This window comes from Homo sapiens, chromosome 13 (genome assembly GCF_000001405.40).
Source record: "Homo sapiens chromosome 13, GRCh38.p14 Primary Assembly".
In the NCBI taxonomy this organism is placed as follows: Eukaryota; Metazoa; Chordata; class Mammalia; order Primates; family Hominidae; genus Homo; species Homo sapiens.
Window position 1 is genome coordinate 39,671,857 of NC_000013.11, and position 23,388 is coordinate 39,695,244.

General features: G+C 32.7%; 1 protein-coding gene across 4 annotated transcripts in view; it reads left to right on the forward strand.

Moving 5' to 3' along the window:
- COG6 (component of oligomeric golgi complex 6) overlaps positions 1–23,388 on the forward strand; it is a 136,040-nt gene that overhangs the window by 16,230 nt on the left and 96,422 nt on the right. For all 4 annotated transcript variants that reach the window (NR_026745.1, NM_001145079.2, XM_011535168.2 and 1 more), the window contains 8 exons: positions 5,612–5,723; positions 7,682–7,764; positions 8,119–8,189; positions 10,315–10,408; positions 15,647–15,775; positions 15,852–15,943; positions 17,904–17,968; positions 22,778–22,869. Coding sequence is in view for 3 of the 4 variants with exons in the window: in NM_001145079.2 (NP_001138551.1) it covers positions 5,612–5,723; positions 7,682–7,764; positions 8,119–8,189; positions 10,315–10,408; positions 15,647–15,775; positions 15,852–15,943; positions 17,904–17,968; positions 22,778–22,869 (738 nt within the window). In the remaining variant the exon portion in view is untranslated. The remainder of the gene's footprint in view (positions 1–5,611; positions 5,724–7,681; positions 7,765–8,118; positions 8,190–10,314; positions 10,409–15,646; positions 15,776–15,851; positions 15,944–17,903; positions 17,969–22,777; positions 22,870–23,388) is intronic.

Genomic DNA, 23,388 nt, shown 5'->3' on the forward strand with positions numbered 1-23,388 from the left:
GTTCCTTCTTTGTACTCCCACAACACATTATTCTTCTAGCACTTATTTTCTGCCCTATGATTTCTCAACAGTGCTGGACGTTATGGTCTTTGACTATTTTAACTGGATAGCAAAGGCAGTGTATTAATGCTCTTTGTACCCACTCCTTTCTACACAGAAAACTTTTCAACTGAATATGTCTACATGGTTACTTTAACATTTTAAATAGTTACAGCTGACATTGCCTGTTAATATTTGAGACTCTTACTTTATAAGAGTAATAGCAAGTGTGCATATATACTTAACTAAATGTTATTAAGGAGTGGAAAGTATCAAGCTGGAAGAATGTATTAGATGCCTTTTAAGCTGTATTTTGTACAGTTATAATAATACATGTAATTGTAATTCAAAAGGTAGATCCTTTTTTGTTTATTATAAAAACATCTTTGTTGAGATATAATTCACATATCATAAAATTAAAGTATATAGTTTATTGGTTTTAGTATATTCAGAGTTGTGCAATCATCATTATGATCTGAATTACAACATTTTCACCATCCCAGAAAGAAAACTCCTGACCATTAGTAGTTATCCAGCCTTAGTGAACCATTAACCTACTTTCTGCCTCTCTAAATTTGCCTATTCTGAATCTTTCATGCAAATAAGATCATACAGTATGTGGCCCTTTTTGACTAGCTTTTTCCACATAGATAAACACTTTTAAGATTCATCCATGTTACTTTAACCTTTTTTATGGCTGAATAGTATTCCATTGTATAGCAACACCACATTTTGTTCACCCGCTCACTAGTTGATAGACATTTGGGTTATTTCCACTATTTGACTATTGCAAATAATGCTGGCTGTAAATATTTGTTTACAAGTTTTTGTGTGGGCATGTTTTATTCCTCTTAGGTATATATTTAGGGGTAGAATTGCTGAATCATATATGATAACTCTTTAAGTGTTTGAGGAACTGCCACACTGTTTTCCGAAGAAGCTGCACAGTTTTACATTTCCAAAAGCAGCATATGAGGATTCCAGTTTCTGTACATCTTTGTTTTTAATCTGTCATTTTGATGATAGCCATGCTACTGGGTGTGAAGTACTACTCATTGTGGTTTAGATTTGCATTTTCCTAATGACTAATGATGTCAAGCATCTTTTTTTTGCTTATTGGTATTTGCATATTTTCTTTGGAGAAATGTCTATTTACGTCCTTTACCCATTTTTTAATTTAGGTTATTTGTGTTTTTATTTATTGGTTGTAAAAGTTCTTTATATGTTCTGGATATAGGTTTGTTAACAGATACATTATTTGCAGCCATTTTCTCCCATTTTTTGGGTTATCTTCACATTCGTGATATCATTTATAGCACATTTTAAATTTTGATGTAGCTCGTTTTATCTTTTTTGTCATTTGTATGTGCTTTATTTTTCAATGTATTTTTGTATTGAAGTTATTTTATCTATTTGTTTTAAAATACTAAGATAAAAATTTAGAAATTTATCAGGTTTTGAAATCATGGCATGGTACTGGAAATGCTGACAAGAAAACAACCTCATTACAGGATTTTATCTCTATTGAGTTTTAACCAGTCTTTCAAAAACGTTTAACTTTCAGTTTGATACTTTATAAAAACTTAAAATGAAAAGTTTCTTCTTTTTTTCTATTTTAGAACCAAAAAAAATTATAGAAATACTTTTTCTTAAGGATTGTAAATGATAAGCAGATTCTTTAAGATCCTGTCAAACAGGTTATTTCACTTATCTTTCCATCATATGAATTAGGTAAAAGGAATCTTTTAAGTGTAAAAAACTGCCTTTTCTTTCTTAAATTTTTTTGACATAATGTTAATATAAATCTATTGTATAAAATTTAAGGAAAACTAAAATCATATATAACTCTACCACTCAGATAGAACCACAATTAATATTTTGGTATATTTCCTTCCAGAGTGAGTATGTGTGTGTATTGTTAATATTTTACTTTTTTCCCTTAATATTTTATGTTCATTTTCCTATGATTTTTTATATCAAGAGGATCATTTTTGGAAGTGTCCTGAAATATAATGCCTAAATTTTTCTCAAAAAAGATTATCACAATTTCTACTTCCATTCTGTCTATTTTATTAAACCCTTATCAGCATTAGATATCATCTTTAAAAACTTTGCCAATGTAGATGAAAAATATTATCACACCATTTTATTTTTTATTTTTATTTTTAATTTTTTTTAAATTATACTTTAAGTTCTAGGGTACATGTGTACAACGTGCAGGTTTGTTACATATGTATACACGTGCCATGTTGGTGTGCTGCACCCATTAACTCGTCATTTACATTAGGTATATCTCCAAATGCTATCCCTCCCCCCTCCCCCTACCCCACGACAGGCCCCGGTATCACACCATTTAATTTACATATCATCGAATAGTGATGAATCGACATGTTTCTCATTTTGTTTTGCCATTTATATTTCTTTACTTTTTTTGTTTTGGTTTATATCTTATGTCCATTTAAAAAATTATTTCGAAATTATTTGGTGTAGGTGAACCTAGAGGTAGAATTAAGATACGACAGAGATAAGTTTTCAAGAAAAAGAAAAGTACCACAGGATTCATAAATCATGTTCTGGGCTGATTTGAAGGAATCATGAAAATTAAGTAGTCCGTTTATTTTAAATACTTAGGCAGTATACGACTGGACATACTGAAAATTGATGTACATGTGTTTATATACAGTAATTCCCAACCTTGTCTATGGTTTTGCTTTGTGTGGTTTCCATTACTTATGGTCAACTGCAGTCTGAAAGTAATAAATGGAGAATTTCAGAAATAAGCAATTTGTAAGCTTTAAATTATGTACCATTTTGAGTAGCATGATGAAATCTCAAGTGGTTGGCTCCCACTTTGGTGGGACATCAGTCATCCCTTTTTCTAATGTGTGATGCTATATACACCACCACTCAGTAGTCACTTAGTAGCCGTCTCAGTTATCAGATTGAAAAACAGTACGTGTAGGATTTGGTACCGTCAGCAGTTTCAGGCATCCACTGGAGGGTCTTGGACTATATCCCCCGAGGATAAGGGGGGACCATTGTAATTACTTCTTAAAAATAAGTGGGGATTCCTATACATACTTTCTCGCAACTTTTTATACCTATAAAATGCCTTATGGATCATTTTGTTAGTACATATAGATCTACCTCAGTTTGATCTATTATGTATTTTTCCATAGTGTATATTTCACATATTATTATTTATTTATATAATATACAGTGATTGCACAAACATAATCTTAAATACGCTAGAAGTTATAATTTATATGTTATGTTAATATTTATCTCCTATACTTTTTACTTAGACATTGAAAGCCCTCTAAAAGTTCCATATGTTGATGTAAAGTAAGGACAAGGTCTGTGTCATAAGTGCCTTTTATCACACTCGTCTCTGGCATAGGCCTTATACATTGTGAGTCTCCAATAATGTTATTTGAATGAGTGAATATTCCCAAACCAAATCACTGGACCATCTAACAATAACTTCCTGTCAGAATGGTTGTGAAAATTTACCTGGAAAGAATACATGTGGTAAAACTAGAGTAATATGATAATAAAAAATATATTAGAATTTATTGTCACTACTTTTAAAGTTACCATCTTGATATATTAAACTCTTGTTTTAGTACTGTGCCCATTATAAAAATATTTTTGCACCATCTCTTTTGTAGCTATATATAGAGCCTGTGTTTCTGTCTTTATCTCATGATTGATTTTTAGATCCACATTATTTGGAATGAATTGTAATGATTAAGGGGTATGATCAAGGTGGGTAGCATTTGTTTTGGTTACAACAAAATGAAACTATAAACTAAAGAGACAAATTTTCCTTTGTGCCTAATAAATTGATTCTAAAGATAGATCCAAAAAAGCTCCCAAAAACATTTTATTTCACATGGTTAATTTGCATAGTCTCAAGGAATTTGATGAAATTTTATAATTACTTTAAATTCTTAATGATAATGACTGGAACTTTTAAAAATATAAAACAAAACCTGTTAAGGTAACTCTTTAAGCTTTTAAAAATTCATTTTTAATTTATAATTGACATATAATGATTATATATATTTATGGGGTACAATGTAATGTTTCAAGGTAATTACCATATCTATCACTTTAAACATTTATCATTTCTTTGTGGTGACAATATTCAAACTCTTCGCTATCTTGAAATACCACTGCATTGTTATTTGCTGTAGTCACCCTAGTTTGTAATAGAACAGTAGAACTTACTCTTCCTAACTGTAACTTTGTACTCGTTGACCAATCTCTTCCTGTCCCCTTCTCCCCACTATCTTCCCCAACCTCTGATAACCATGATCTCTCACCATACATAAAAATAAACTCTAAATGGATTAAAGAGTAAACTATACGACCCCAAGTTGTATAACTACCAGAAAAAAAATAGGAGAATTGTTTCATGAAATTGGACTGGGCAAGAATTTTTTGAATAAGACCTCAAAAGCACAGGCAACAAAGCAAAAATAAGATAAATATTAAGATAACTTTTAGATATCAATAATAAGATGATTAAGAACATGACATTTAAATCTGTGTATATTCAATTAGGTGATTTATCATTTGAAATAAACAGATCTTTGCTGCCACCTGGAGGATTTTTGCTTGTAAATTTCTTTATTCAGTAGGAGCATTAGCATTCAACTTTGAATTTAAAACCTCCATCCCAAAGGTGCAAATAAAACAGAGGTGGCAGATGCATTGTACCATCTATACAAATAGTGTTTATGTTTATCTTTGTTCATTCTTATTTGAATTTTGTTTAATTGTGGAATATTACTATTCTCTGAATATTGCTAGTGAAATACTTTTATAACTTTATTTATATATTTTCAGTTCTGAGATACAGAAACCAGGAATGTTGAGTTTCTGTTCAAGTAGTTTGTGTTCCTAACTTGCCTGTGGGTATTGATTCTTCTCAGTCCCATAGGTCCTTGAGTGTGCCTTTTTCCGTCAGCTAGTTTAGATAGGTTGCACTCATATAATTTAAAAGGTTGTTTTTATTACTATATTTTGTAGAAAAAGTGGGGAAGACCAAAGTGGATAAGTGACTAGCAATTTATGGAGAATTAATAAAGGAGTTCTTCTATAACATAAAATAAACTAATAAATTTGATTTTTGATATGTACGTCATGTGAAAACTTAAAAGGCTTAGGAATTGTTTTAGTGACTGAAAAGAAATTGGTTGAAAACAGGAACATATTTCTCTCTTATAAAAGCATCTAGCAAACTGCAAGGTGAACTATTTAAGTACTTGTAAGTGGCTGCAAATTTGTAATGCAGGGACCATGCATGGACTTATTTGTTCTTTTGCGTAATGATCAACTCCATTTATTGTGTGCAAGTATCTGAAATAGAACAATATTAGCTAATTTTATCACCTACATGTCTGATAAAATTCTAATATTTGAGGCAGAAACAAGACTTTTGAAAATATTGAGAACTTTTCATACCTTTGTTTTAAAAATTTATTATGTCTGAGATAGAATTTGTTTTAAAGCTATGCAACTGTGTAAGATGCTTGATTTTTATTGCTTGTTTTGAAAATTACAGCCAAAAATTAGAGATAAGAGCTCAAGTTGCAGATGCCTTCTTATCCAAGTTCCAACTGACTTCTGATGAAATGAGTCTTCTCCGAGGTACAAGAGAAGGACCCATTACTGAGGTATCCTGGCTTTCTGTTATAATCATTTAAAGTTTAGTAGTTACAGATATTAGAGAGAAATTGCTTTTTTGAAGCTTTATTTTCCCATTAAAAAAAGTTTCATCTGAGAATATTTTTATGTTTGGAAATTTAAGATGTGTATTTTAATTATATTTTTCAAAGTAATACATGTACTTTTTAAAAAGAGTCAAAGTTATAAAAAGAAAATCTATGTCACCTATTTTACTCTTCCTCACCTCTAGGTCTTTTGTCAACCATTTTCAATGTTATTAATTGCTTCTTTTGTAAATTCTATATTCTAGATCTATAGTTAAAAAGAATATGCTTTGATTATCTATGTTAACTATTTTCTATTGATTCTCTATTGTGAAATGTGAGGATTTAGCCTTCTACCCACTCTGTCTCCTCCCCCAACACAGATAGTACACACATATGTTCTCTTTATCTCCTTCATACATCATAGTACAGTTAGACCACATTTTCTATTTTCTTTTCCTTTTTTTTTGAGACAGGGTCTCGCTCTGTCAACCTGGCTGGAGTGCAGTAGCACGAACACAGCTCACTGCAGCCTCAACCTCCCAGGCTCAAGTGATCCTCTCATCTCAGCCTCCCAGGTAGCTAGGGTATCCAGGCATGCACCACCACTCCTGGCTGATTTTTTAATTTTAATTTTTAGTAGAGATAGGATCTCACTGTGTTGCCCAGGCTGGTCTTAAACTCCTGAGCTCAAGCGATGTGCCTACCTCGGCCTCCCAAAGTGCTGGGACTATAGGTCTGAGCCATAGTACCTACCCACACATTTTTCATTTTCATTACAGTGACATTACAGTGATTGCATGTTCTTTCTTTTATAACTTTGTGTCTTTCCTTGGGTTAGAAATCACTTGTTTTTTCATCTAATTAATTTTTTAAGCTATTCCATTTTTTCCAAACTGGCTGACAGAATTATATAACCTCTCAAAATGTTAAATAACAAGAAAAAGTTTCGTTTCTTTTTTTTTCCTTGAAGACATTCAATTTTTCCAGAAAGGAATCTTTTGGTCTTCTCGCTGGGAAGAACTGTAAACTTAAGCCTATCGTCATCATTGTGGGATCAGAGGGCAAGAAGGGTTCTTGAGGTGGGGAAGGGTTCTCACTGAGTGTCTCTGAGTAGGTATCACTTTTACTGGCTTGGCTAAAATGGAACCAGTCATTTGGGTGTAGAGAGGTAAATAGGTGAGAGAATTAATAGAGATATTATGTATTAGTATGTACTGCCCTCATGTTTTGAGGAACTTTGCACATATGAAATATTTGACATATCATTTTTTCTCCCCTTGGTAGAAATTAGAAAATGAGGGTTATTATTATTATTATTATTTTAAGTTTTATTCATCAAAGAAAAATAACACATCCGTTATTTTTCGTGGGTGGAACACTATTTGTGGCACTCTGAAACCTAAGCCTCCAGTACATTTAAATATCAATCAACAGTTTGGCATCTGTCACCTCCTATATATTTAACTTTGCATTCTACTCTTGGACGAGGGAGCAATAATGAGTATACAACAGATACATAAAACATCATCTTCAGCAATAAGAATGCCAGGCTTAAGTAATAAGGTGTGTAATACACAATACTTTTTTTCATGTAGTAATTTTTAGTTTTGCATTTCTCACTAGACTACGTACACTTCTTGAGGACAGGGATTTTTGTCTTTATAAATTTTATTTTCCTGGCAACTGTCAACACTATTTGGCACATAGTAGAAACTGAATTAATATATTAATATGTCTTAAAATGTGAATAAATACCAGTTACACCGTCTATGAAAACTTAGAGAAAGTTGAGATCAGTATAGGAAGGCTTCCCTAAAATAGGTGAAAGAGTTTGTTTGCCCTTGGTAGTGACCTTTCAGTTTTAAATAATGCAATTTTGCCTGAAGCATGGACATAAAGTCACATTCTTAATTTTAAAGGATTTTTTCAAGGCACTGGGAAGAGTAAAACAGATTCATAATGATGTCAAAGTTCTCTTGCGTACAAATCAACAAACGGCAGGGTGAGTAACTGCTCACTGAACTAATTGCATTGCTGCTTATGTTTCCAAAATTTTAAAGATATTCTAGATTGTTTGTGAACTATATAGCATTTTGTGAAATAGAAGTTTAATCTTTATTTATCTTTAGAGAATGGTGAAGTTATACTCTGACAGGTTTAGGCTAAAACAGCAGTTGATAAATAAGTGATGGTTAAAATGTGACATTTATTTAATTGTAGAAAATTATTGAAAAATCATCCCATAAAATGATAAAAAGTTAATATGCTGTAATATGTAATATGCAAACAAAATAATTAGGTGCTTAGATGTATCTGTTGACTAAAGTTTAAATTATAATCATTAATTTTTTTTTAGTTTAGAAATTATGGAACAGATGGCCTTACTTCAAGAAACGGCTTATGAAAGACTTTACCGATGGGCTCAAAGTAAGTGATTTCTTTTATGTTGTCTAGATTCATGAACATTTGTAGTTGTTTTTTAAAATTTTACTTGGTCTTTATTTGATATATTTTGATTTTAGTAATCAAACATTTTTTAAAAATAAAAATAGTATTTGTATTTGGTTTTTAAATTTTTACTTGGTCTTTGATGCATTTTGATTTAGTAATCAAAAATATTTTAAAAAAGAAAAACAAACTTCACATTTGAGCACACTGTTTTTTGTGTTTGTATCATGAGCACCAGCTATCAGCCAAGCAGTATGCTTGATTAAGTGTGAGAATAAAACAATGAAGACAGTTTCTGCCCTAGATTATTTTAAAGCAGATTAGGTATCTCTTGTTGTTTACATAACTGTAAAGTTGTAAGTGGTAAACTGATTTTCTGCTGTTGCTGTAACAAATTATTACAAACTGAGTGGCTTAAAACAACACATATTTGTTGCCTTACACTTCTGTAGGTCAGAAATCAGATGTGGTTCTCACTATGCTAAAATCTAAATGTTGGTAGACCTGCATTTGTTTCTGTAGGCTTTAAGGGATAATGTTTCCTTGCTCATTCAGTTAGTTGGCAGAATTCAGTTCCTTGTGTTTGCAGCACTGAGGTCTGTGTTTCCTTGCTGGCTGTCACTGAGGGTTTTTCCCAGTTTCTAGAGGCTGCCTGCATTCTTCGGCTTGCGGCCCCTTCCTCCATCTTCCAAGCCAGCAATGTCAGGTCATTTTCTCATGTTGATTCTACCCTGCCTCATCTTCTATCTCATATCTCTAACTTTTCTGCCAGCCACTTCCATTGTGAGGCCTGTGTGATTACCTTGGACCCACTTGGGTAATCTGAGAAAATCTCTCCATTTTGAGGTCTACTGCCTTAATTTCATTTACAAAGTCCCTTTTGCCATGTAAGGTAACATATTCACAGTTTCCAGGGATTAGGATGCAGACATCTTTGGAGGGCCATTATTTTGCCTACCAGGAATGCTTTATTTGCTTTAGTTTTGTTTGAAAATGTTTCAATAGATTTTTTGCAGAATAGCCTGTTAAAACCAGAGAAGATATTTAAAACAAGCAAGCATGGAACAGGAGCACATATTTTAATAGGTGTTACCAACTGACTGTTGGAAGGGGTTGGAATTAAATTTGGTTAACCAGCTACTCCTGTACTATGCTGCGCAAATGGAATTCTCTGATCTGGTTGGTTAAGTCTTTATCTCTAAAACCTGTTTGTTTTTCTACCTCTCTCCTTCTTTACATTGTTTGCTTCCATCTGGAGTGTTGTCTGCCTTTCTCTCATTGCATCTCATTGTATTTTTTTCATGTATGTCTTATCTCACTAGTTTTCTACTTCCTCAAAGGCATGGACATTGACTCAAATTTTTTTGTGCTCCCGCAACATCTTACATAGTGGTTCCCAACTGTGGGCTCTGTCTTGTGGAGACTATGAAGTCATTTTAAGGTGTCTTCAATTCTCTATGCATATTTTGTTTTCAGTCAGTGCATGCTAGAAAGTATACTGCTAGTGTGAAGTCCTTGTGTACCAAAGGTTGGGAATTTCTGAGAAGTTCTAAATTCTTTGAATATACTAGGCACTTGTGAGCATTTTATAGATAAAATTAGAATAATAAAGAAAAGTTGGTGTAGAAATTTTTAAGAGTTTAAAATTCAAACTCTTTTGAAATTATATCACTATATATTAGTTAACCACATTAACAATTTTAGCAAACTGTTTAAAGATTGCTTCCCAGCGAAGGAACTGATAATATCTTTTTAGTACTCCTCCCTGCCTCCCTAATACTGTCATGTATATGGCAGTTATTAGGAAATACTTGTTCACTGGTTGGTTTCTTCAGGACTCTATAGTGTTTTATAATAATAAAATACAGCTTTGGGGCATACCTGATAGCATATGTGGTCATTTAAAGTTATATAACTACTTAAGCTTAACTTTTTAGTTTGGTTGACAGCATAAATTCATTTTTGATTGGTGTATTCTCTAGGTTTTTCTGAGGATTTTTTTTTATGGGGTGTTTGCCATAGAATTTAGACTCCTGGAATGCAACAGACATAATAAACATCTAAGCTGAATTTAACAAAAGTTATAATGTTAATTATTTTTCAGGTGAATGCAGAACATTGACACAAGAATCATGTGACGTATCTCCAGTATTGACACAGGCAATGGAAGCCCTGCAGGACAGACCTGTCTTATATAAGTTGGTGACTTTTTCTTAATTAAAAATGAAAGCCTACTTTTCTTTTGATATCTTACTTTAAATTTTAGTATTATCAAAAGCGTATATAATAGTTTGAGTAATATTTATAATAATTTACAACAATACTGTTCACCTTAACTTGAATTTGTTTCATGGGGTATCAGCTTATTTGAATTTTACATACTATAGAATACAATATGGAAAGAGAAACCAAAGTGTCTCTGTATCTAGACTACCTCTTACTTATATAGAGGTTCAGTGACTTTTCCCCTGTCGTCTCATTAACTCCCTTAGAATTGTAAGTAACTAAAACTCCTGTATGAATACTTCCCTACAGAGACTGAAGTCATATCAGTACTGAGAAATATGGTTATGCAGAGATGAAAAAAGAATATTTAATATCAAGGTAATCTGTTAATAGGATTTAGGAGGAGAGGGCCCAGGTCTTTGATCCTGTAATTGATGCCAAACAAGAGCTATGTGGTAATGTTTTGGATAAGAATTTAATGCATTTTGTATTTGTTGATATGTTTTTTATTATTTTATATTTTAATTTTATTCTTTTAATTTTTATAAAATAAAAGGTAAATACTTTCTTTAATGCCTGGAGTAGTATTAGCATAAGCTTTAGGTAGATGTAGGGGTTGATGATATTAATAATTCTGAAAACAGGAAACGAGGGGACTCTTACCAAGGTAGTGCATCCTGCTTTGAATCATCCCTTTCAGAATCTGTTTATACTATTTTTAGAGGACCTCCCCATTACTTTCTGATTGGAACACTACTTATCCTATCATCAGGTCACAGAACACAAATGCTGAACAGCTGTGTAAAATAATAACACCCCAGTGTTACTTACTGAGTACTATGTGTTAAGCACCATTTTAAATTCTAGAAACACAACGTCAGTAAAGCACTGCCCTCAAACTGCTTTATTTTATGGAACCAGAGATAAACAAACGCATTTTAATTGAATACACTAATTGATAGTCTAGAAGTCATGTGCCAGATGCTGTGTGGCTCAAGTATTCTGGTGTAGGGGAAAGAGATGAGCATCAGTGAAAGTTTCCTAAGGAATTAGGTATAAAGTGAGTTCTGAAGGCTGAATAGGCATTTTCCTAGAAGTAAAGGAAGAACAGTTTGCAGGTTGAGGGAACAGTAATGCAAAGATATACATTGAGAGATAATGCACCTTTGGGAAATTAATTGTAAAAGCTTGCACTGGCTATTGAATTAGGAGCAACAGCTGGATCATAATAGCCCTGAATGTTGTGCATATACATAAGATAAGTTAATGTTTACCATTGATCAGCAGCTTAACAGTTTATTCCTGCTTTAAAATTTCTTTCCCAACTTTTTCACTTTAACATATTGACATTAATTATGAGTCTTTTAGCACTTAAAACATTTGGCGTTTGATTTTAACAGCTGTTGCATTGTCTACAGATTAATATTTATTCACAAGGTTAATCTTTTATGTATTAAAAAAAAAAAGCCTTTCTGTGTTTTGGGCACCTTTGTTTGTTTTCAACAGCTGACTTCTGCCATGCAAATAAATTTTCACTGAGTTATAGTTCTTTATCAAAACTTGGAAAGGAGCAATATTAAATGGCTATAAGGTGGGTTCTTGAGTCAAATTTCTTTGAGAAGTCCGTGTACCTTTATAAGCTTGTTTCCTTAGCTGTAAAATGAGGATAATAATAGTGCCTATTTTACAGGGTTGATGTGAAGATTAAGTTAGATTGTTCACTTAAGGCACTTAGTGTAATGCTTGGTACATCACTAAATTTTAGATATTATTTTTATTTTGAGAGGAGATGACTAGAAAGTTTTCAACTAAGGAGGGATGTATCTGAGGGCTACATGGCAATCTGGGAAAAAGCTTGAAAGATAAAGAATGGAACTATAATAGGCAAAGAAGGTTTATCTGTGAAGGGCATATGCTAAGAAGCAGGGGGCAGTAATGGCAATTTGGAAGATTTTTTTTTTTTTTTTTTTTTTTTTGAGACGGAGTCTAGCTGTCGCCCAGGCTGGAGTGCAGTGACGCAATCTCGGCTCACTGCAGGCTCCGCCCCCTGGGGTTCACGCCATTCTCCTGCCTCAGCCTCCCGAGTAGCTGGGACTACAGGCGCCCGCCACCTCGCCCGGCTAATTTTTTGTATTTTTTAGTAGAGACGGGGTTTCACCGTGTTAGCCAGGATGGTCTCGATCTCCTGACCTCGTGATCCACCCGCCTCGGCCTCCCAAAGTGCTGGGATTACAGGCGTGAGCCACCGCGCCTGGCCAATTTGGAAGATTTTAAGACACATTTAGAAGTTGAGTAGGAAAGTAAGTTTTTAAGACCAGATGATTAGAACAAGATGAATGCTAAAAAAGAGAAAATTGGCCTTTCATTAAGTAATTATTTTCAAAGTGGTAGTTTCCTTACATTTAGGGAAAACTTAATAATGTATCATGTTAACCACCAGATGGCACTATATGAACTTAATAAGTAATGTATAAAAGTTTCACTGTCCATTATTGTGTCTCAAATAATGTAAGTATTATATACAAGAAAAATGTCAATTATTGAAATCCGTGGGGAAAGTTGCCATACTCAGTGTTTCTTATGTGGTGTATAACTGGAATGCTAATGCATTATTGACTTTTAATAATAAATCATGTACAATTATAAATGAAGTGAAAAAATTTGATAATTTATTTTCTTTGGTAAGCCTTTAGAATATAAGTTATTTTAAAATGTAGTAATACATACAATGCTGATTTTTCTTCCTTCTTTATGTATTTGTTGTGTTTCAAAGAGGCACTTCTTTACTATTATCTTTTAATTTGCTTTTTGATAAAAATTTTTCTTCTTTTAATTTGCTTTTTGACCAGAATTTCTTTAACTGTAGCTAAACACAATTTTTAAAATGAGACTTTTAATTTTAACTTGAGGTATTTGAGAATATTTACATAATTTGAACATTCACTCTGAAAAAGCTCCATTTTGATTTTTGATTATTGTTGGAAGAATGTCTGATTTTGGTCAAAGACTTTTTCTTCTGTCTCTGGGAAGGATGTTTCATGTCTAAAGATATTGAAGGTTCACGTGGCTTATGCTGTTTTTGCTTTAAATTATATTTGTTCTATAGGAGGATTGACATTAATATTAATGTTTATTGATATTTTATAGTATTGAACAGATGAAATTCCAGTGTTTGCCAGGCTTGGTAATTTACCCCCTATTTAAAATACACTGGATTTTAAGATTCACTGGATTCTGTTACAGCTGTCGTCCCAGTGGACAGTCCTAGAAACAAATTATGCTGTTTATTTTTAATATAGTTAGTAGGGTCTTGGGAATGAGGATTAGCTATATATACTTAAAAAGTTAAACGTTTGTGAATTTTATGCTGTGATAAGCAGTCATAAGTTCATTATTTCAGAGAATCAGGTGATCATTTAAAAGAAGGCATTCTTCACACTAAATGGATTAATAATTTAAGAGCATGAGGGAAAAAATAGCAATGAGCATTTTGGTTCTAATTTGTTTAAAAAATAGTAAATGCAAGGCAATTATGCAATTTAGCAAAACTTAGCTGGATATTGCACTTCCCCTTTTCTGTAGTATGTCACCACAGGGAATCTCAAAACCATTTCTTTTTAATGGAAGACAAACCCACAAAGAACCATAGTCTGGTTAATAGTAAACAGTCCTCAAAAAAGGTTCATATTCCTAAATATTTATAGCTATTTGCCAGTTCTACAGACTTTCTCTTTGATTTGGAAATAAACCGTCTTTCACATGTTTACCAAAATGTGGATTTTTCATCCAATTAACAGCATATGAAAGAAAGCTATGTAGCCTAAGATATTAATTATTTTGGGTATCTTGGGAAGTTTTGGTAATTTTTGTTTATATATAGGTTATTGACATAATTCTTAAAATTTAGTATGGTAGAATACTGTTTAGAGATTTAAAAGTTAGTCTAGAATCTGCTGACATCAAGACTGCTAAAATATATTTTGTTTTTCTTTATACTTTTAAAATGGAAAGAACTTTCAATTGAGGGATGGATGTCAGGAATGGTGGTGATAATGGAAAACAAGGCTGAGTCAAGTCAAAGAAATGGGCACTCCAGAGAGCTCCAGGCCATTTTTATAAATTGAATCCCAAATTGTCCTATTCCCCAGTTAAAAGCTTTCCTTCCCTACCAGTTCCTTCACCTTAGAAAGCCTTTCCATGCCTTTTCAATTATAATAGGTGACTTCTTAATACATGTTTTTTAAAAAGGTATTTGCTTGTATATGTGTTTGGTCAGTAAATTTAAGGAACATCTGTTATGTCTAATATTGGAGTCAAAATAAGCTTTTAAAGATGGATAGCAATTTTTGGAGCAAATTTTGGTGATAGATTGTGATAGTATGTGTAAAGAAGACTTTTTTAATGTAGAAGAGAAAAATGTCAATTTTGGGATTGCAGAATTCTTTTATTTTTTCTGAGACAGGGTCTTGCTCTGTGGCTCAGGCTGGAGTATAGTGGAGCAGTCACTGCTAACTGCAGCCTGAACCTCACGGGCTCAAGTGATCCCCCTACCTCAGCCTTCCGAGTAGCTGGGACTATAGGCATGCACCACCATGCCTGGCTATTTTTTTTTTTTAATAATGAGAAAGGGTTTCATTATTTTGCCCAGGCTGGTCTCAAACTCCTGGGCTCCAGTGACCACCTTCCTCGGCCTCCTAAAGTGCTAGGATTGCAGGTGTGAACCACCGCACCCAGCCTTGGATTTGCAGAGTTCTAATTATAATCAGTTTTTGAGAACTGTTATGGCTTTACGTAAAACAGTAGAGCATCATGTTTTAGACTGCAAATATGTATACTGAAATATACCGAAACCTAGTATAGTGAATATACTGAAACCTAAAAAGTTAAGTCTTCCCACCTTGGCTTGATTTTCCTACTTTTACTAAGTCCATTGCTTTATCCCTTATTACTGCTGCCTCTGCTTTAGTCCCAAATCCCAGCATTGTTTCTTAGGAGGGGTAAAAGTTTTTACTTTTTGATTGAATTTTCAATGAGCTGAAGTTATCTCTTAAATATTTTTTTCTTGTTTGAAAGCAATGTTGCTTGACCGAATATCTAAAGGAGCTTTAAGTGCTTTTTAAGTACTTGGTTGTCTCAGAAATTGCGTGAATAGTCTGATATAGCCACTAGAAACAACCCCAACCATTTTTTATATAACTTGTTTCTTCTAGATATACCTTAGATGAATTTGGAACAGCCAGAAGAAGTACAGTTGTTCGTGGATTTATTGATGCGCTCACAAGAGGGGGCCCCGGAGGTACACCTAGACCAATTGAAATGCATTCTCATGACCCTTTGAGGTATAGTAATCAGACAGCAGAAGAGGAGTTGATGTTTTTCCAAAGGAAATCTTCATTAACATTTAGTTTTCATTAGGTATGTAGGAGATATGTTGGCTTGGCTCCATCAAGCTACTGCTTCTGAAAAGGAACACCTTGAAGCTCTCTTAAAGCATGTAACTACACAAGGTGGGTCCACCAATTGTATTGCTAATGCCTAAATATAGAAAATAACACAAGCATCTCTGTTTCTGTTCTTGTTGCCATCTTCTTCACTTAGATAAACACCTTGATGGTACAATAAGCATCCTGATTACTCTTTCTCTTCTCTAGATTCTCCCTCATTCTGCTAATAGACTTTCTCTTCCATCACCTTTGTCCTGTCACTCAACTGTTCAGTTTTATAGTGAAACCTAGTGACCTTTCATATCAAACCTAGACTCCTCTGTGTCACTTTTAAGAAATTTCTGGAATATTTAGCATACATTTTCTCAAATCCTCTGCATGACACTTTAAAGGTACAGGGTGATATTATCTTAATTTTATCTGTGTGTAAACAGGCTGAGTGACTTGTTTTAGGTCTTTAAGCTACTAATTCTTTCATTTCTGCTACCCAGCCTCTTTTTTCATTCTCATGGCACTGTTTTAAAATTTTAAGACAATTATCATATCTGTTAGTATGTTTCTGCATTGCTATAAAGGAACACCTGAAGATTGGTAACCTATAAAGAGGTTTAATTTGACTCACGGTTCTGCAGGCAGTAGAGGAAGCATGATGCCAACATCTGCTTCTGGTGAAGGCCTCAGGAAGCATAGAGTCATGGTGGAAGGCAAAAGGGGAAGAGCCAGCATGTCACATGGTGATTGAGGGAGCAAGACAGAGAGATGGGAGAGATGGGGAGGTGCCACACACTTTTAAGCAACGCTGACTATTGTGAGGACAGCACCAAGCCATTCATGAGAGATGCACTCCCATAGCCCAAACATCTCCCACAGGCCCCCACCTCCGACATTGGGGATTACATTTCAACTTGAATTTAGAGGGGACAAACATCCAAACTACATCACCATATGTACTAAATGTACTTAAAATTTTTGTCTTGATGTCAAGGAAGAAAAATAACTGTAGTTGAGAGTTGCTGATGTCTTGTTTACAGAATTCCAAATCTTCTTAGTTGTGATTACCTAAAGAGGCCTGTTTTAGAGTTTGAGGGTTTAGTGTATGATTTTAAAGTGTTCTATTTTTGGTAGGAAGTTAAGAGAGACACTGTGGCTTGGTATCACTTGACTATTTTACATAGCTCAGCCACACATCTCTGTGGTTCACATTATCTGCAAGATGAGTCAGTGTTACAAATTGGTGGTAATACTAACTTTATAGCTTCTAACTCTTCAGTATCAAGATTAGACTCAGCATATATGTTAGATTGGCACAAAGTGTGCATCGTTAGGTTCTCTTTCTGTTATTATTCTCCTTACCCAGTTTAAATAAATGTGTTTCCTTAAAGATGTTTTAGAAAAGTATAAGGCAGTATTAAGGAAGTAAATAGACTGTAGTTAGTTGAAGTAGGTTATTCTACATGAATGACTTCAATCTTCTGGGCCTCAGTTTTTCCATCTGTGAAAATGAAGGTGATTACAAGCAGTAAATGTCAAATACCCAGTACAGAGTTTGATAAATAGTTGGTGTTTTGAAAATACCAGTTTTTCTGAAAGATTTCAAGGTATATTTTTCATCTTTATACCCTCAGTGTATGTGCTAAGCAGCACTGCCTGGAACAAGATGTTTGTAAAACAAATGCTAATACATCTTGGCATCACTTCATTCAATTAATACATTTCACCCTCTTTTTTTCCTCTGTCTTATAACTTTAATCTTTTTCACAAAGAAATATTTATTTTATTAACTCAAAGTCAGATGAATTAACAAGGCTTTCTAGACACATTAGGTATTATCACAATTAATATGTTAACACAATTAGTAATGTCCCAAGAGATATCAAACTTACTAAAATATTGTTATGGTTATTTTAAAAGTCATTAGTGCCATTAATTATATGTATTATATATTATTTGTTAGTTTTTTGAACTTATATGAAGCAAAGTATAATATGGAAACAAATATTAATTATGTAGTCATTAATTTTAGGTGTTGAAGAAAATATTCAAGAAGTTGTTGGGCATATCACTGAAGGTGTGTGCAGGCCTCTAAAGGTAAAATATTTTGTTTTTACATATGCTATATGGTACCTGCTTAAATTATTACCTTATTTATAGAAACTTAAGAAACTGATACCAGCTCAAATACAATCTATAATTTTTTCAAATTAGCACACTAATGTAGACTAATAAGAAACATTTTAAAATAATAATTGCCAGTTTTCTCTCTGAGAAAGAAAATTGGAAATATTTGTAGTTTGCATATATTGACCTATTTTTTACAGATTATATTTCCTGTAGTAATTTTTCTTATTCAATTGAGAAAAAAATCTATTAAATTTAAACAGCGAATCTATGAACTCTTAACAGAGAGATTTACTAAGAATATTTTGTTTACTTGATTGCTTCAAGCATAGAAGAGTTTTTGCTTGTCATAGCAATAAATAATGATTAATCCAAGGATAAAATAATGTGTATTGGTATTATCATCAATACTGTTTATAGTGCAAGGAACAGAATTTGGAATCAAATTTGAGTTAGAATTCCCATATTGCCACTTAATTGTGTTTACTTATTGCATCCGCTTAACTCTTCTGCACCTGAATTATGCTCTGGTGGGACCTGTATATTAAAACACCTATCATCCAGGGTTGTTGTGAGGATGACTGTGTAGATGAAGTACATAGTTTATGACACTAAGTATTTAGCAGATGGTAAATACCTTTATTTTCCTTTATTAATATTTAGAGAATACTTGGCAATTGTTGGTTTACTTTTCCTTGTAAACCAACTTCATTGATTGACTTTAATTTCATACATAGAAATTGAAATCCAGAAGTTTAGTAATTAATTTTTCAAGAAATGAACTTTAAAATTAATTTTATTTTATTTCTAAGGTTTTTGTTTTTTTGGTATATGCTTCAGGCAAGGAAATCTCAGATGACACACTTGGTGACAATTGATTATATTGACAAATTTAACTGTTACTCTAACTTGATCTCATAGGACCTAACTGTATATTCAGTAAATAAATGGCTAAGTATCTTGAAATTATTTTACTTATTTCTCCCAAATGAAATATTTACTTGTCATAGTTTGATGTAGACATATATAACTTATATAAATGTTGTTTATTTTGTATACTGGCAGTTACTGGAAAGGTAGAAGAAGAGGAGGAATAAAATGAAATTTATTTTGCTATGCTTTTATACCTTTTTATAACTTCATATAGTTAAATTAAACTCCTAGTCACTTTGATAAGTAAATTTTACTTTATCTGCCTTACCTTCCCCCCTTCCTTGCTTATGTAATTATGTTTCTTTTTACAATTTTTCTAATTTTTGTGGGTACATAGTAGGTGTATGCTTTTCCTTTTCTTTTTAAAAAGTAATTTTATAAATACTATAATTTTAGAATCTAAGGGTTATAATGGACTTTTCAGTTTCCTGTCCTGGTTTGAGTAAGAATTATTATATTAAAAATGTTTAAACTAATCCAGCCACTTGTATAAAGACTTTATATACTGAAGTCTGCCTTTGTTTTAAAATGTACTTAGAAATTCTCACTTCATCTTCCTTTAATGTACATACCCAGAAAGATCTTTATGGCAATTGTAGGACATTATTGTGATCTGCTGGCAAATTTAAATGTAAGATGCCAAAGGTAAAGAAGACACTAGTAAGCAGACAAGCATCTTTTTGTTGTAAAATGAAGAAAAATTCCTTTTCTGAAATGGCAGAAACTTCAAATCTTTCCATATGATGATAATATGTATTGCATCCAGAGAATATTTAGCAGGTGTTCACAATAGTTACGTATCAAATTAGCTTGATAGTGATATGTAATCCAGCAACTCTCATACCTTCCCTTCCTTATATACTGATAGACAGTGTTACAGTATTTTAAGAATTTTTTTTCTGTATGACCTTATTTGAGTATCTTATGTTTTCAGTGAGATAGTTGTTAGTTGAGGAAAAAAATTTCGACTTTAATTATTTTTTTTTGCAATTATAATTCTGAAATTTTCTAGTGATCAATCTGCTCTTGTAATCCCACTCATACAAAATTTCTTCTTCCTAATTGATAAGCAACTAAACTTTTTCTAATGACATATGATATTGGATGTTATGGCTACTTTTCTGTCCATCATTATTCTTTGTAGATATGAATTTTTTTTGGAATAAGAGATTTTGATTTTTAGAAACATAAAAGGTTATAGTGGTAATGGGAGATAATCCTTGAGAAACTATATATTTGATTTATTCTACCTTGTTTAATCTTTTCTTTGTCTTAGTAAAGTGAAACATCATAGGTAGTAGATTAAATATTTGTAAATGTATGCATTAAGATAAGATCTGTAAACCTATTGCCAGTTTAAAGAATCTGTGCTCTAAGTTTAAGATTGCATATGTTGTGTAGGGGGTACCGTGGCTCATCAGCATCAACCCTATTACTTTGTACATGTCTTTATTCCAAAACTGTAGCTAGAAAGACCAGAACTAATATATTAAATTTTTTTTTTAAGCCCATGGGTATAAAATCCTTCTTTTATGTGAATGTTTTAGATTGCTGAGAGATTACCAGCTATCATTTGAATTTTCTCTTTTAATAAAAACTTTAGTGTAGTGTATGCTACAGACCTTAGATTATGGTGGGTTCTATGAAAGCAGGTATATGTAAAAGATCAATGACATGGAAAATAAAGCTGAATATTGTACACAATATAGTCATTGGACCCTCAGATTGAGGTATACATAGGAACAGATGTCTACCCTGAGCAGCTGTCTGTGATATTAAGGTAAAATAGGTTTGTCATCATCTTTTTTAGTCCTCCCTTCTTCCTGTGTCCCCTTCATGAACACAAACCCACTCTCTTTCTCTTGCTCTCGCTTTTGCTCTAGCTTTCTCTCTGGCCTTGGAGAGGAGAGCCACTGTTCTGTCTTTTAGCTCTTCCCTACCTTCTCTGCTGTCAGGGTGCCTGAAGCTCATTTTGCTACTTTTAATATCTCTGCCTTTATGGTTGATGCTGCTTCTCGTAATGCAGTTAGGATTTATTGAGTGCTTATGATGTGCCAGGGTCTGTTCCAACATACTTTATATCTGAGCCATTATTCCCGTTGCTGCTTTCCAGCTCTGCTAATGATTTTTCCCTCCACTGTCATCACAGTGATAATTTCCAGTCAGTTGCTGCTACCACCACTCCTTTAAGTCTCTTTGACCTTTTTTTACTTTTTACTTTTCGTTTCTCTTGTCCTTTGTTGTTTCTCCTGTGACTGTTGGGTTTTGCTGAAAATGGTTACCCTCTTATATAGCTCTCATAAGACAGAGTGTTTATTTCTGTGTGGCAAACAAAGCATTCTTGGTGTATTATTTGTCAGTCTCCTGATTTTCCAGCCTTTCTCTGTTGTATTTTGTATTGTAGCTGTTGTATTCTTTATTGCCACTTTCCCTCAAAACCTTTATATTCATGGAGAGAGTTGGAAATTGTTTTTGTTTTTTCTTCCTTTCTCCCTCCTTTCCCTCTTTGCTTTTCCTTTCTTTCTTTCTCTCCCCTCTTTTCTCTCTTTCTTAAGGGAGTCAGAACTAAGAATATTTTCTTGATGCCTCAAAATTCTGGAAGGCAGCTGGCCGGATAGCTGAGATGTTGTTTAAAATCTGCTAGTAAAGAGCTGTTTGCCTACAACTAACATTTTTTATATTTTGCTGTAATAATTATATTAAAATTAAGAAAATATCACTTTTATTGATGTAATGTATAATTTAAGTCACTGTTAAGGCCTTGATTTAAAAATAAATCATGGAAAAATATATTTTTTAAGTTCAAATGCCATTCATGATCCATGGTATTGTGTTAATTAGATAGTCTATCACCTATACCAACAGATCAATTTCATAAACATATTAATGTAAAGGTAAATTGATTTCTGTAATCTAAGAGGTTTTCATATGCAGATATAAAATCTCATTTTAGCAAATCACATTTGTTTTATGACATATGCCAAAATCTAAATACAGAGAAAGTTCAGTTTTTAAAAGCATATATTAAACATCTGTTGTGTGTATACTGTTCTACCAGATGCTACAGAGATGTAAAATAGGCAGAAGACATAATGTCTATACTGTATTTGTATTAGAAACTAGTTAGGAAAGCAAGAAGATAGAATGTAAGCAGTAGCTTAAGGACAGATACAATATTTAAGTAAGCATTTATCAGTGTAGTTTAGATTGTATTCATTAATGAGATAATATAAAAGAAGGATCAGTGAGGGATGGAATTTAATTAGAAAAGATTCATATTTCCTAAATCTTGAGGCAAATCAAATTAATCTTGAACTAGATCTGATTTTTCCCTGGTAGTCTTATAATTTGGCAAATATGTTGGTGCTAATTCAAGATTTGCCTAGTTTTCTATTCTTTGATTAATAGACAAACGATATAATAATTTATAGACTGGAATTTATTTTATTTTTTTCTTGAATATTTAGCAATAAAGCATTATGTTTTCATTGATAATCTGTTTTAGGGATGTAACAGTTGCCTTTTCAATTTCATATTGAACCAAATTCCATTATATACTGGTGATAAATCTCAAATGATCTCAATGTATTGACATTTCTGGTAACAACTGCCTTGAACCAAATTCTGCAAATAATGGGTCAGATTTTTGTAGAGTATATCTCTGTTAAAATGTTTGTTACTTTACCATCTTCTATGACTTACTACTCAGAAATTATTTAGGAGGCATTTTGTGATCTCTGCAGTAATAAAATTTTATCTTTGTTATGCTATTCATACCATATGTTATTAATGAAAAAAAGTTATACTTTTAAGAAATGTTTACTTTCCTCTCACATATTTTAATAGGTTCGAATTGAGCAAGTAATAGTTGCTGAACCTGGGGCAGTTTTATTATATAAAATTTCTAATCTCCTCAAATTTTATCACCATACAATCAGGTAAGTAGAATGGCAAAATGTGCTTGCTAAATCCAATGTGATATTTCTTTCAGTTAGAGCACAGTATAAGATTTTTTTTTATATTGTGTATAGTAATTATACACTAAGTATAGACTAAGCGTAACTAGTAGGACTTCCACACCATGTAAATCATTATATGCATATTATACATGCTATGCCTTAAGGTCTATTATTTCCTTTCTCCTTTTTTCTCCAAGCTTAACTACACGCACACACACACACACACACACACACACACACACACCCCTTATATAGCAATATAAGTCTATAATGTAAGTCTTTATTGAGTCTTCCTGCATTGGTAAAAGACATCCAAGGCAACTAAAGCAACTATACCTTATACTCACAATAGAGCATAGTGAATGAAATGTTCTATTCTGGATGTAAATAACCTACCATGTACTCACAATAGGGCATAGTGAATGAAATGTTCTATTCTGGATGTAAATAACCTAAATTCTTTAGCATTTAGTTTACTATAAGTGATAAAATAGAGTC